The sequence below is a fragment of the Homo sapiens genome, chromosome 11 (assembly GCF_000001405.40).
Source record: "Homo sapiens chromosome 11, GRCh38.p14 Primary Assembly".
NCBI classification, from domain to species: domain Eukaryota; kingdom Metazoa; phylum Chordata; class Mammalia; order Primates; family Hominidae; genus Homo; species Homo sapiens.
The window spans coordinates 966,486-981,006 of NC_000011.10; the positions used below are offsets into that span (position 1 = coordinate 966,486).

Here is a 14,521-nt window from a genome sequence, read left to right on the forward strand (position 1 = left end):
AGACCTTGTCTCCAGACAAAACACTTTACTTTTTCTTTCACTTGGGCAGCCTGTTTTTCATTTTACCGTGAGTTTGCTTGATTATTAATTCATTGATGTAAAAGGCAAAGACTGAGCAACTGCCTTGTGCCACACACTGTTGTTGGGGCTGGTGTGCATTGGTGAGGAAGTGGAAGGAGTTCCCACCCTGCCCCCGAGGGTGTGAGCCTCATGCAGGCTGTGTGGGTTGGAGAGTGTAGAGCCAGCAGTGCCTCTGGCTGGTGACCAGATGGCTGGTGGCCAGTCAGGGCACTGTCCCTTTTCCCAACTTTCAGGTCAAGAGAAGGCGTGGAGGCTCTGGTTCCTGACTCACTCTCCAGTTTATCTTATTCTACTTGATATTTTGTTATAAAAAAATACCAGGCCAGGCGTGGTGGCTCACGCCTGTAATCCCAGCACTTTAGGAGGCCGAGGAGGGCAGATCACGAGGTCAGGAGTTTGAGACCAGCCTGGCCAACATGGTGAAACCCCATCTCTACTAAAAATAAAAAAATTGGCTGGGTGTGGTGGCGTGTGCCTGTAATCCCAGCTACTCGGGAGGCAGAGGCACGAGAATCGCTTGAACCTGGGAGGTGGAGGTTGCAGTGAGCCAAGATTGCACCACTGCACTCCAGCCTGGGCAGCAGAGCAAGACTGTCTGGGAAAAACAAAACAAAAATAACCAAGCAGGTTTCAGTCATTATGAGGTAGACATTTTGTCACATTTTATCGTCTGTGAAGTCTGTGTGCATCTGATGAGTCAGTGAAAGATGGTGCTCATGAACCTGTGTTGTGACCTTACGTTGCCTCAGACACCTGATGCTCCGTCCGTGCTGTGCTGTTTCGTTTTATTTTTTTATTTTATTTTATTTTTTTGAGATGGAGTCTCGCTCTGTCACCCAGGCTGGAGTGCAGTGGCGCGATCTCGGCTCACTGCAACCTCTGCCTCCCGGGTTCATGCCATTCTCCTTCCTCAGCCTCCCGAGTAGCTGGGACTACAGGCGCCCGCCACCACGCCCGGCTTATTTTTGTATTTTTAGTAGAGACAGGATTTCACCGTGTTAGTCAGGATGGTCTCTATCTCCTGACCTCATGATCCTCCTGCCTCAGCCTCCCAAAGTGCTGGGATTACAGGCGTGAGCCACCATGCGCGGCCCTGTTTCATTTTTATAGTAACCTGCTGAGAAAGTTGGGCTCAGAGAGGTTAAGGAATACGTCTGAGACCACAAGACAAGCAAGTGGCTGCATCTTTCAGACTGGAGCCCAAACTTAATCGTGATCCTTTTATGGTTTAGGATGAGGTTTTCCAGCCATCTCTCCTCTGATCTGCACAAACCAAGGAGACAGATATTACTGTTATCCTCTGCCTTTTATAGCTCAGAATATTAAAGTTCAACTCAACATTTTGAAATTACTAGAATAAAAAAGTAATTCTAGCCTAGTACTGAAACCAGCATTTTGAAGACTGTATCAGTCTGGGTCCTTTCAGGAGGGATAAACTTCACAGTGGCACCTGCCAGGGGAGCTGGCGGGCTCACCTGCCACCTGCCCCACCGAGATGGGTGAGGGTGTGGAGCGAGCATTGCTGCTTGTTTCCTGTGGCCCTGGGTTAGGCCAGGAATCCACGTGCTGCCACATGAGCAGCGGGCCGAGCACTGTGGCTTTCTCCTCGCGCTGGCGACTTCCGCTGCCCCTCACGGTGCTTATGCAACAGGGGTGGTGTGCCCAGGGGAGTGCTCTGTGACATCTCTGGGAGGCCCAGAGGTGATCCTGCATCACCCTCACTGACCAGTGGGCTCAGCTTCTAAAGGTGGGCCTAAGTTTCCCAGCACCCGGGAGCTCTAGAGCAGCTCTTCGTCTGGGGTCCCGCGGGAGCAGAGGCTGGTCGGCTCCTCTCGGAGAGAGCCTGTCTCCGTCTCCGCCCCTGTTCCCATCCCCGTCTCCATCCCCGTCCCCATCCCTGTCCCACAAAACTCAGCCCAGTCGGGCCGCTGGTCCTCTCCCCTGTCAGTTATTTTTTCCTTTGAGAGGTGCTTTGAGTAACAGGGAAGTCTCCGGAGGGAGGAGGAGGTCAAGCAGTATTTTTGGCTGTGGTTGTCCAAGGCGGCTTCCAGCGGGTGATGGAATCTGGGCTGGGTAGGAGACACGGTGCTGGGGCTTCCCAGTGGAGGATCTCTGCTGCGCAGCCCGTGCTCAGCTGTGTGTGCCCTCCTGCACAAACAGGGCACGGAGAACGTGTCTGCTGGGACCCCTTGGGCACAGCAAGCAGATAAGTGGGTCGGGGCCGGGGGAGGGAGGAACCAGGTCGGGTCTGCTTTTATTTATATCATCTGGTCTTTTAAATTATGTTAATTTGCCGCTGACAAGGAGGGGGGTTTCTCATGAGCTCCTCAGAGTGCAGCATGCAGCTGACTGGCCGACTGGTGATGCACCGTTCCCCAGGAAATGTGGCCGGTCTGTATTCTACACAGTTGAGGTCGTCCGTGGAGGTGTGAGCGCCCCAGCCCTTCACAAGAAGGGGGCCAGAGCGGCTGTCGCAGCTGGGCTGTCTTCCCAGCCTGCGTTCCTTCACGCTGTGGCAGCAGAGTCTCTGTGAGACTCGGCCTGCACAAGGCCACCTTTCTCGCTCGCCTCCACAGCCTGCTGGAGGCTGGCTCTGAGGGACACTCCCTCACCTCTCAGGTGGGATAGAAACTCCTGGCAATGTAGAACAGCCCTTTTTTTTTTTTTTTTTTTTTTTTTTTGAGATGGAGTTTTGCTCTTGTTGCCCAGGCTGGAGTGCAATGGTGTGGTCTTGGCTCACCGCAACCTCCGCCTCCCAGGTTCAAGCAATTCTCTGCCTCAGCCTCCCGAGTAGCTGGGATTACAGGCATGCACCACCACGCCTGGCTAATTTTGTATTTTTACTAGAGATGGTGTTTCTCCATGTTGAGGCTGGTCTCGAACTCCTGACCTCAGGTGATCCACCTGCCTCGGCCTCCCAAAGTTCTGGGATTACAGGCGTGAGCCACCGTGCCGGGCCCAGAATGGCCCTTTTTTTAAGGGTTGGTTTTATATTTTGGAATTTTATATTCTGCCAATTACATGTTTTGAACCTGCCCTGCCATGATCCCTTGTGAGGGGCTCAGACAAACTGCGATGAGGCAGAGAAACAGAAGCCCTAGGGGCCGTCGCGTGTGGGCCTTGTTTTCATGACCAGCTGATTTGCCCTAGAATGGCTATGAAGTGGCAGATAATTTAGACTGTGTTCATATGCCTAAATTAAACTGATTTCAAAGACAAGCTTGATGGTTGAAGGCAGGGTTTGCAAGTTCCATCACAGCAGGGCCCTCTGTGGGATTTTGGCTGGTCGGAGTGAGGCCCTGTGAGGGCCAGCTGGGCTGCACCTGCCCAGGGTTGTCGTGGGAGGGTAGAACTCTTGTTGCCAGATGTTCTGGTGCCTGTTTTTAAAAGGGAAATAAAAAACTTGGACTCTCATGAGTACCATGAGTTTAGAAAGGTTATTCATGCTCAGCAGCGTCTGCACTGCACCTGCCTGGGCCCGGCCACCCCTCTCCTGGAGGCTTGTCCGTGCTGCCTGCTGTACTGCTGCACTGCCCTCTGCTCTCCCCTCTCCCCTGCCTCTGCCCGCCTGGAATAAAACCTCTTCCCCACCTTTTCTGTAGGTGACAAGGCTCTTGATGGCTATAGTAAAAAAAAGTACGTCTGCAAGTTGCTCTTCATCTTTCTCCTTGGTCATGACATTGACTTTGGACACATGGAGGCTGTGAACCTGCTGAGTTCAAACAGATACACGGAAAAGCAGATCGTGAGTATCGCTGCAGGTGGAGACGGCAGAGGATGGCGTGGGCCTGGCAGGACTGAGGCCCGGTGCCCGTGTAGGGCCGCTGCTTCCTTCTCTGCCCACAGCTGACGTGAGCCACGTGGGTCTGCTGCAGATGGAGACGCGTGCCCAGTCCTTGTTAGCACCTGCTGCCAACACCCTGCGGGCCCCCTTCCCGCCCAAGCTGGGTGTTCTTCAGGAAGCCCTGATGCCCTCACAGGGTTCCTCCTCCTGCATGCGGTTTTCCTGATGAGGTGGCCATGCCTTTTCCTCCTTTCTTTGCAACCTCCCTTACGGCGAGTTTCAGGACTGCCCGGTTGGTCTGGAGAGTGCCGCACGCGGCCCAGCGTTTGATGTGGTTGGTGCTCTGTGCCCATGAGGTCGGCCTCCAGAGGAGGGGAGGATGTCTCCCTGACACAGTGCCTTGTTGACGCACTGTCCCAAGTAGACCCGTCCCGTGGTCCCTTGGACAGCTTTGTTTCTGCAGTAGGCGCTGGAGGCACATGGCTGGGTCTTGGTGCGGAGGGTGCTCACCCCACCATCTCCCCAGCCCTTGCCGGGCTGGTGCACAGTGTCCTGTCACTCTACTTTTGAAGTCTTCTTGGGCTCTGCACGTTGAGCTGTGTAGTCTCTTGCAGTCACATTATTTCTATGTTTTCCCTGGTGGTATAAAGTAATATTTTCTTCCATTTGTCAAAAAATTTAACTTAGAGAAATTAAGAGAGACTGTAGATGTCTTGGGGTTTTGATAAGTATTGGTGTTTATTCAAGCATTTGTGGAGTGCCTGTGGTGTGTTGGGGGGATGGGGGATTAGCCTTGAGGACGGAGGCACAGGGACTGGAACTTGGGCCTGCCCTTGTCCTGGGGGAGATGGGTGTCACATGGCTCCACAGACATAGAAGTTGAAAGGATTTGAGAGAGGGAGTGGAGGTGGGTGTGTTGAGCTGAGGCTGGAGGGAGGGGAAGTTAACTGGGGGCTGAGGGTGGGAGGAGCAGGGAGAGCAGAGCAGGTGGTGCCTGGCAGTGGCCTGGGCGTGCGAGCGCAGGGCTGAAAGGGCAGTGGTGTTTGGCAGGGCGGGAGCTCCCTCGTGGCGTCTTCCTGGGAGCCGTGGGAGGCTGGGTACATCTTTAACCGGGGTGCTCAGTGATGGGCCTGGAGAAAACCACTGTTTCCCTCCAGGTGGGGAGGGTGTCACCTTCGAGGATGGCTGGGAAGAAGTGGCAGTGACACAGGACTGGGGTTTGCCCTGGGTCAGTGGGGGTGGAGGGGGGCGGCATGAGGCTGTGACACAGGCAGATTAAAGAGTGGGAGGGAACAGGCAGCCGGGTTTCTGGAAATTGTTGTAGCTAAAATCAGCCTCTCAGTGAAGGTTCCTGCCCATCTTAACTTGAGGATAGTGTGATGTCCGGAACACTCAGACGCGTGGCCCACAGTGAAGTGAGTGGGACCGGGGGGTCCAGTTCCTGTTGGCATCTGGCTCGTGGCACGCTAGTCAGGTGTGCCCCACAGGAACGCTGCGCCATGAGAGCATCGTAGCAGAGGCATCCTCGGTTCCACTGGAACAGACGTTTGCCGAATCCTGAGAGGCGCCGCTCCCACAGCAGTGCCCTGGGTGCGTGGGTGGTGCCTGGGCTGCTTCCGCATCTGTGTGTCACTGATTGTTGGGTGACTCAGGGCCACAGGTGGACTTGGATTGTCATGAGCTTTCTCTTCTCCTGTCTTTTGGAACGCAGGGCTACCTTTTCATCTCTGTGTTGGTGAACTCAAACAGTGAGCTGATCCGCCTGATCAACAACGCCATCAAGAATGACCTGGCCAGCCGCAACCCCACCTTCATGGGCCTGGCCCTGCACTGCATCGCCAGCGTGGGCAGCCGGGAGATGGCCGAGGCCTTCGCCGGGGAGATCCCTAAGGTCCTCGTAGCCGGGTATGTGCCGGGCTCGTGCCGGGCTCCTGCTGAAGATGTGCTGCTTTCATGCCAAATACATCAAATATGGAGCTGCTTAGCCTAGGAAATGTTTTACTCTCCCCATCTTATGGGAGATGAGATGTAGCCTAAGGTGGGATCCAGAATTACAAGTTTAGGCCGGGCACGGTGGCTCACGCCTCTAATCCCAGGACCGTAGGAGGCCAAGGTGGGAGAATCGCTTGAGCCCAGGAGTTCAAGACCAGCCTGGGCAACATAGGGAGATCCCATCTCTACAAACAGTTTTAAAAAATTAGCCAGTTGTGGTGGCGTGCTCCTGTCGTCCCAGCTACTTGGTAGGCTGAGGCAGGAGGATTGCTTGAGCCCAGGAAGTCAAGGCTGCAGTGAGCCGTGTTCATGCCTTGGAGACTCCAGCCTGGGCGACAGAGCGAGACCCTGTCTCCAAAGCAAAAAGAGAATTACAAGTTTAGATTTCAATTAAAGTGCAATCTAATACCACTGAGATTCAAAACACAGATCAAAGAAGAACGCCCACACCCTGCCAGCAAAACCAAGAAGGGGCTTCAGCCCCGCAGGGCACTGGGTAGAACGATGCATCTCTGGGCAGCTCCTCCTCGTGCCCGTTCCCCAGGGCTTCACGCGGAGAAGCCGAGCACCGCGCCGGAGCGCCCTCGGCCATCCGTTCCGTCCCTTGTTAATTTGGAGAGAAGCCTCGAGGGGCTGAGTCACCAGCTCTGGAAGAGCTTAAAGCAACCCTGGGGTGTCTGTGCCACAGGCAGGGCCCCCACCTGTGTGTTCCAGGATACCCTGCGGAGTTGGGAAACTGACCCCTCGCCCACACGGTGCCACCCGGCTGAGCTAGGCCTCAGGCCACGGGAGAGTGGGTGGACATCCACCCAGACCACACAGTGAGGACTGGAGACAAGGTGGTGGGAAGGCATGAGAGAAACAGGCCTAGACCGGCGTCTCAACTGGGCCACATTGGCTTTGTGAGGGTACTGGGCCGTGTCTTGGGGCATTTTTGGTTGTCACAGTGGGTAGAGACCAGGGTGCTGCACCCCACACCACTCAGGATGCTCCACAACAGAGAATGAGGCAGCCTTCTATCAGCTGTGAGGTGAGGACGTCCCACAATAGAGAATGAGGCAGCCTCCTGTCAGCTGTGAGGCAAGGAGGAGCCCGGCTGGCAGAGAGACCGCAGCATAACCACGAGAAGACAGATATTCAGAAGCGCAAGAGCTCAGAGATGGGTGACCCCACAGTAGGATGGACAGGAGCAGAACCACCGAGCCGGGGGAGCAGGCGCAGTGCCTGAAGGCACTGTTGCTCCTCAGGCCATTCAGTCATAGGTGGCAGAGCATGTGGGCGCCCCGAAAACAGGGTGCCCAAGATGGAAGGAAGGCTCGAATGATCACAGGGCGCTGGTGCAGGAGAGGGAGGGTGGGGCTGGGGGTCGAAACCAGCCAGCAGGTCCAGTGGATTCTGCCTCAGGGCCACGGCCTCCTGGCCCTCCCTCTCCTCCTGCCCCCAGGGTTGTTGCTTGCCTGTTTATTACCTGTTTCCACCCTTGGGGTGGAAGCTTCCTGGGCTCTGAGGTTTCTGTCCACTGTGGTGGCCGCTTTACAAACCTAGCATCTTGAACAGTACCAGGTCCCTAGTAGGTGCTTGGTGGATGTCTGCGCGTGAGCGGAATGCAAGACAGGGCCACCCCTGAGGCACGTGCAGATTGATGAAGTGGGGCACTACCTGAACCGAGGACCTGCTGCAGGAGCCAGGGACAGAGGAGGGAGGAGCCAGGGTGAGGAGGGGTCTCCAGGGGCCAGTGCAGTGCATCTGCGGCTGGAAGGGAGCAGGTGGCCAGTGCACAGCATCTGCAGCCAGAAGGGAGCAGGTGGCCCGTGTTCTGGTGCCTGAGTGGTCCCATGAAGGGAGTGGGTGGCCCGTGTTCTGGTGCCTGAGTGGTCCCATGAAGGGAGTGGGTGGCCCGTGTTCTGGTGCCTGAGTGGTCCCATGGGGATGAAGGTCACAGGCAGGGTTCTCCTACCTCAGAGAGCTCAGGTAACATGGTACCCATGGGCCTTCCTTGAAGAAAAGGGCTAGTTGTTGAAATCCAGCTAAGTAGTAGATGACTCAAAGTAATATGCTAAGGCTGGGCACAGTGGCTCACGCATGTAATCCCAGCACTTGGAAGGCCAAGGTGGGCGGGCCTGAGGTCAGGAGTTTGAGACCAGCCCGGCCAACATGGCGAAACCCCGTCTCTACTAAAAATACAAAAATTAGCTGGGTGTGGTGGTGCTCACCTGTAGTCCCAGCTACTCAGAAGGCTTGAGGCAGGAGAATCGCTTGAACCCAGGAGGCGGAGGCTGCAGTAAGTTGGAGATTGCACCACTACACACCAGCCTGGGCAACAGAATAAGACTCTGTCTCAAAAAAAAAAAAAAAAAAAGAAAGCTGGGCATGGTGGCTCATGCCTGTAATCCCAGTACTTTGGGAGGCTGAGACGGGCAGATCATGAGTTCAAGAGCTCGAGACCATCCTGGCCAACATGGTGAAACCCCGTCTCTACTAAAACCAGAAAAATTAGCTGGGCATGGTGGCGCCCTCCTGTAGTCCCAGTTACTCAGGAGGCTGAGGCAGGAGAATCGCTTGAACCCGGGAGGCGGAGGTTGCAGTGAGCCGAGATTGCTCCACTGTACTCCAGCCTGGCGAAAGAGCGAGACTCTGTCTCAAAAACAAAAACAAAAACATGCTCGGGAAGGAGGTGCTGTCATTGGAGGACTGCTGGTGTGTGTGTCACCTAGAAATGGAAGGACAGAGTAGGTGCTGAGGAGGTCAGGTCATTCCTAGGGCCAGAGGTAGGGACGGGAGGCAGCGGCCAAGGCAGAAGAGTGGGGTGGTGTCTCTGCTGGGATGGACGGAGTTGGTGGAAAGAGAACCCGTGGAGGTGCAGAGTAGCCGTGGGGTCCTCGGTCTCCCTCGTGTGAGCCGACATTAGCGAGTAGCTGTAGGGTCCTCGGTATCCCTCGTGTGAGCCGACATCGGAGAGTAGCAGTGGGGTCCTCGGTCTCCCTCGTGTGAGCTGACGTCGGAGAGTAGTGGTGGGGTCCTCGGTCTCCCTCTTACGAGCCGACATTAGTGAGTAGCAGTGGGGTCCTCGGTCTCCCTTGTGTGAGCCGACGTCGGAGAGTAGCGGTGGGGTCCTCGGTCTCCCTCGTGTGAGCCGACATCGGAGAGTAGTGGTGGGGTCCTCGGTCTCCCTCTTACGAGCCGACATTAGTGAGTAGCAGTGGGGTCCTCGGTCTCCCTCGTGTGAGCCGACGTCGGAGAGTAGCGGTGGGGTCCTCGGTCTCCCTCGTGTGAGCCGACGTCGGAGAGTAGCGGTGGGGTCCTCGGTCTCCCTCGTGTGAGCCGACCTCGGAGAGTAGCGGTGGGGTCCTCGGTCTCCCTCGTGTGAGCCGACGTCGGCGAGTAGCTGTGGGATCCTTGGTCTCCCTCGTGTGAGCCGACGTCGGAGAGTGGCGGTGGGGTCCTCTGTCTCCCTTGTGTGAGCAGATGCTGGAAAGTAATGGTGGGGTCCTCGGTCTCCCTCGTGTGAGCTGACACCGGAGAGTAGTGGTGGGGCCCCCGTCCCCTTGGTGTGAGCTGATGATTTAGACTGTGTTCTTCTGCCTAAAAGAGGAGGCGGATCCTCCTCCTCTCTGAGGAGTGTGGCATGCTGGGCGCCCTCGTGTGTCGGCATTTGTAGCCACAAGCATGGAACCTGGTTGGCTCTTCTATGTTGAAGGACTGCTGGGGGCCCAGTCATGGGGTCCTGAAGCCGCCTGGCAAGGACAGCCCTGCTGGCGCCTGGAACACACCCCTGACGTGGCCTCGACCACACATCCACATGGACGCATGGCAGGGTGTGTGTGCGGTTGCTGCTCTGGGCTGATCTGGTGAGGATGGGGTGGGCCGGAAGAGGGACACAATACCTACTCCTCCTTGCAGGGGCGTTGGCACCCAGAAGGGGAATTTTTTATTCAAAGTAATTTTTTGGAATAGTATAGGGGGAGATTTAGGAATAAAAAAGCCAAAAGGTAAATGGTACAGGTAGTCCCTATACCCTTTTCTGCCTTCCATGTGGGGCAGCAGATTCCAGCTGATTCTGTTAAGCGCTTGGAGAAGAGACTGGCCCTTTTTCAGCTGTGCCTCCACAGCGTCCACCCCAGGGTCCCTGTTGCCTTCCCAGCTGCTTAGCAGAATCTGGTGGCAGGAGGGCGAAGGGGGATAAGCGGAGCATGGAACACGTCTGTGCCCTGGACAAGCATGTTGGCAGCAGAGCAGGAGAGCCATGGCCGGCTCCCTTCCCACCGTGTCTGTAGGGACCCGAAGCCCTTTGCTCCAGGGGCAAGGGCATGTGTGGCCCAGCCCACTGTTCAGGGTGGGGCGTGGTGGGGTGAGGGTGGGCGTGGGGCAGGGGAAGATCATCAAGCAGATGTGGAGCTCCATGGCGGTGCAGGGCCCTCCAAGCATTTCTGTTGTGATTGTGGATTATTAAGTTGTAACAACAACAACAAGAAAGCTATTGTTCAAACAACAAATGAGCAATGTGAGCTGCATGTGGTCGGCTGGTGGTTTTGGTGGTGAGAAGGTTGGCAGGGAGACCTTTGGAGCAGGGCCCATGTATGCTGAGAACACTGCTGCTGCCCCCTAGGCGGCCTCGGCAGGCGGCCCTGAGTGCTGTCTTGGCCCCTGCGCCAGCCCCACCCCCGCGTCTCCTGCTGGCTCTGGGGGGGTGCTCCGTGCAGCTCTGCGCTGTCTTCAGCCTGTTGCGAGTGACTCTTGACGTCTGTCTTTCAGAGACACTATGGACAGCGTGAAGCAGAGCGCGGCCCTGTGCTTGCTGCGCCTGTACAGGACGTCCCCCGATCTTGTCCCCATGGGCGACTGGACATCCCGAGTGGTGCACCTGCTCAATGACCAGCACTTGGTAAGCACCCTTGGCTTTGGTTCTCCCCGCTCCCCCAGGTGACCTTTGGGATGGCCGTTGTGAAGACACCATGGTGCGCCTTCTCGGGATGCCCAGGAGAGGCTGTCACAGGGGCTGCTGTGGCTGCGTGCTGAGGCCACGGGGGCCCTTCCTGGGGCTGGATGAGTAAGACTCCGCCTCTGCTCATCCTGTGGCCAGGCATTGGCTGAAGCCCTCGGGTAGCACAGAGGCTCTGCAGACACCCCCAGCTGAGACACGTGTCTCCTGGAAACACCTATCTAGTATGCGGAGCTCCTGCCTGGTGTCCCGGCTGCCTGTGCCCTCATCTAGGCTCTAACGTGCAGTCTTACTAATCCTCGTGCCTACTCCACGGGCCAGGCCCCCATGGTATAGGCATACACCAAGGGTGGAGGTTTCCAGCGATTTGGTGATGTGTGTTCAGGTGCTGTGAGAGGCACGTGTGGGGGAGGGGCTGTGCTAGTGTGTGAGCCTCAGGGGCTTGAGGGTCACAGAGCCGTCCACCGCATCCAGCAGGGGTGGATGTGGGCAGAATGTGCTTGTCCTGCCTGAACTCTGCTCTATGAATGAGAGGGTGAGAGTTGGCAGGAGTGGAAGTATTTCCTGCTGCGTGGAGAGGCATGTGGGCCGGTCACGCGTTCACAAGGATCCAGGATAGAGGGCCGAGAATGCCACTTTCCCATGTTGCCGTGAGCCCCATCCTGGCGGGGGAGCCTTTCAGACGGTGCTGCTGGAGGCTGTCGTCCACCATCCCGTGGACCGTGGGAGGTCATGGGATTTTCCCGCTTTGCAGTCAAGGAGGCCGAAGCTGGGAAAGAGGAAATGCCCTCTGACAGCCCCAGGCCTGTACCCAGAGTTGGCGTGTTGGGGTCTTGGGCGTCAGAGAGTGTGCGGGTGAAGCAGCTATGTGGGAGCTGTGAGTCGGCAGGGCCTGGTCAGGGAGGCAGGCCCCGGGCTCCTGCTGCACATGGCAGCCGGTCACTGGGCTGCTGAGGGACCGGGGCTGCCTGCTTTCCCCTGGGCCTTCTGCAGACAGGATCTGTGCACGCTCTGTGGGACTGGCCGGGACTGCTGTCATTGCTCCTGCCTTGGCAGGAAGTTTCCATGGCCATGCAGCCGCAGGGTCACCCTGAGTGCTTTTCAGGGTGGCAGGGCCTTGCCTCAGATGGCCACAAGGGCACCTCTCCTTGGATACTTTATGATTCTGTGACGCCAGCTACTTGGTTTGCTTTTTGTATTTTTATGCATCTGGCTTTATTTCACCAGGCACTTGAGTCAGCATATTCTTGGTTATAGGCAACGGAAACTCATCCTGAAGGGACGCCACAGCCAACCCCAGGGTGGGCTCCCTGCTGCCCAGTACTTTCCCTCCTTAGCTCTCCCAGCTTGCGCACCTGCACCCCTGGCAGCTGTCTTTTGTGTGGCCATGGCTTTTGTCAAATGCCTTCCACCTCTGACAGCGAAGGCCTGAGGCTTGGCTTCTCTGGTCTCAAGTCAGGAGCCCCCAAGAAAGGTGTCATTTGCTCACCTAGAGTGAGTGAGCTCCCCCATGTGTCCTTCAGGGAGGTCTTGTGGAGTGGGACAGGAAGCGTGGGCGGGACCAGGTGGGTGAGGGTCAGAAGGTCGGCGGTCAGGCCTGCGCCCGGAGTTGGGTGGTGGGGAGGGAGGTGATTTGGCCCGAGTGCTGCATGGGCACCGTGCCGAGCCTTGGGTCTGTAGCCTGAGGGTGGCCTGATGGAGCAGACAGGTTGGAGTGGACAAGGACAGGAGACACCATGGGGAGAAGGGTTGGGGGGCTGGGCCAAGGGCTGGAGGCCACTGAGGAGACACGGAGGTCGCTTTGGCACCAGCTGCCACCACAGGGGTGGGGCCACGTGTCGCGGGCCTGAGTGTGCCCCTCGAGAGGCCTCTTACAGTCTCAGTGCAGGGGGAGGACGTCCTAAATGAGAGGCTGAGCTCCGCGCCTGTCAGCCTGTTGCAGGGGGCATTCTAGATGCGTGTTTCCTGGGGGAACACACCGTGAACATTCAGGAGCCCCGTGGGGAATGACTCTGCCCTCATGGAAGTTACAGACCTGCAGTTTCTTACAAGTTCTTTATTGGACATGGCAAAATCCGTTAGCACTTTGCTCACCGAGAAATACAGGAAGAAGACCAATCAGACCAATTTCTTTCTTACAGCTTTCACATTTTCCTTGGAAAGCTGAGGGCACAGGCACAGCAGGTCTCTGGGGAGAGTGCCGTGCTATAGTAGGTGCACCCCAGCCTGGCTGAGGAGCCGTGGCACAGGGCGAGTGGTGGGGGGATTGCATCAGTCATTCAAGTAGACATTTCCTTTCAGACAGAGGCTTGCTCTGTCACCCAGGCTGGAGTGCAGTGGCGCGATCTCAGCTCACTGCAACCTCTGCCTCCTGGGTTCAGGCGATTGTCCTGCCTCAGCTTCCCGAGTAGCTGGGATTACAGGCGAGGCGAGTGCCACCACGCCTGGATAATATTTGTATTTTTAGTAGAGATGGGGTTTCACCGTGTTGGCCAGGCTGGTCTTGAGCTCCTGACCTCAGGGGATCCGCCTGCTTCGGCCTCCCAAAGTGCTGGGATTACAGCATAAGCCACCGTGCCCACGCAAGTAGACACTTCCTGAGCTCACTGTTTACATCTTCAGAGTGAATAGGTATCATTTATTTTATATTTTTTAAAAAAATTTATGGGAGAATGTCTTTATATAATTAAAGTCTTTTTTCAAGAGGTCTGAGTGACTGATTCCCTAGTGGCTGTCCTGGAGCGGTGACAGGCTGCCCGGTGCCGTGTCCTGGAGCGGTGACAGGCTGCCCGGTGCCGTGTCCTGGAGCGGTGACAGGCTGCCCGGTGCCGTGTCCTGGAGCGGTGACAGGCTGCCCGGTGCCGTGTCCTGGAGCGGTGACAGGCTGCCCGGTGCCGTGTCCTGGAGCGGTGACAGGCTGCCCGGTGCCGTGTCCTGGAGCGGTGACAGGCTGCCCGGTGCCGTGTCCTGGAGCGGTGACAGGCTGCCCGGTGCCGTGTCCTGGAGCGGTGACAGGCTGCCCGGTGCCGTGTCCTGGAGCGGTGACAGGCTGCCCGGTGCCGTGTCCTGGAGCGGTGACAGGCTGCCCGGTGCCGTGTCCTGGAGCGGTGACAGGGTGCCCGGTGCCGTGTCCTGGAGCGGTGACAGGCTGCCCGGTGCCGTGTCCTGGAGCGGTGACAGGGTGCCCGGTGCCGTGTCCTGGAGCGGTGACAGGGTGCCCGGTGCCGTGTCCTGGAGCGGTGACAGGCTGCCCGGTGCCGTGTCCTGGAGCGGTGACAGGCTGCCCGGTGCTTTGGGGAGGACTGCTTGTGCCCTGGGATCTGAATCTGTTCTCACTGAGGGCCAGGAGGAGCGGGGAGGGAGGACTCGCGTGCTGGGCCTAGTGGCCTCATCCAGCCTATGGTGGTTGAGTGACTGCCAGGGCCACTTTCCAAAAAGGAGAATGGAAAAGGACTTCTCCAGTTGCTCTTTTCTATAGTCTCACTTCTGGGTTGTAAAGATTCAGATCAGTGTAAAGGTAGCGTCTCCCTCTACAGTGAACATGCGTTATTAAACCAGAGGCAGCAAGTGCAGATGACGGTGGAGGCCAGGCCAGGAGAGGGCAGCAGGCAAGGTGGCGTGTGCAGCCCACATGCTTGACCTGCATGGCTGGACGTGGCCCTCTGGCTCTTCGATGCTGGCAGGGATCTGGGCTAAGCATGACGGAACTTCCCAGTTTTTAAGGA

At 57.1% G+C, this 14,521-nt stretch overlaps 1 protein-coding gene across 12 annotated transcripts in view, besides 2 other annotated features; it reads left to right on the forward strand.

The window, feature by feature from the left end:
• The window catches only part of AP2A2 (adaptor related protein complex 2 subunit alpha 2), an 86,371-nt gene that overhangs the window by 40,616 nt on the left and 31,234 nt on the right, over positions 1-14,521 (forward strand). For all 12 annotated transcript variants that reach the window (NR_144510.2, NR_144509.2, XM_047426480.1 and 9 more), the window contains 3 exons: positions 3,684-3,826; positions 5,577-5,770; positions 10,610-10,739. Coding sequence is in view for 10 of the 12 variants with exons in the window: in NM_001242837.2 (NP_001229766.1) it covers positions 3,684-3,826; positions 5,577-5,770; positions 10,610-10,739 (467 nt within the window). In the remaining 2 variants the exon portion in view is untranslated. The remainder of the gene's footprint in view (positions 1-3,683; positions 3,827-5,576; positions 5,771-10,609; positions 10,740-14,521) is intronic.
• Positions 3,382-3,883: an enhancer, noted in NCBI's record as "H3K4me1 hESC enhancer chr11:969867-970368 (GRCh37/hg19 assembly coordinates)". NCBI's record gives its function as "activates a minimal SCP1, AML or CMV promoter by ChIP-STARR-seq in naive H9 embryonic stem cells {active_cell/tissue: H9 hESC(naive)}" and the evidence as "EXISTENCE:reporter gene assay evidence [ECO:0000049][PMID:30033119]".
• Positions 3,884-4,383: an enhancer, noted in NCBI's record as "H3K4me1 hESC enhancer chr11:970369-970868 (GRCh37/hg19 assembly coordinates)". NCBI's record gives its function as "activates a minimal SCP1, AML or CMV promoter by ChIP-STARR-seq in naive H9 embryonic stem cells {active_cell/tissue: H9 hESC(naive)}" and the evidence as "EXISTENCE:reporter gene assay evidence [ECO:0000049][PMID:30033119]".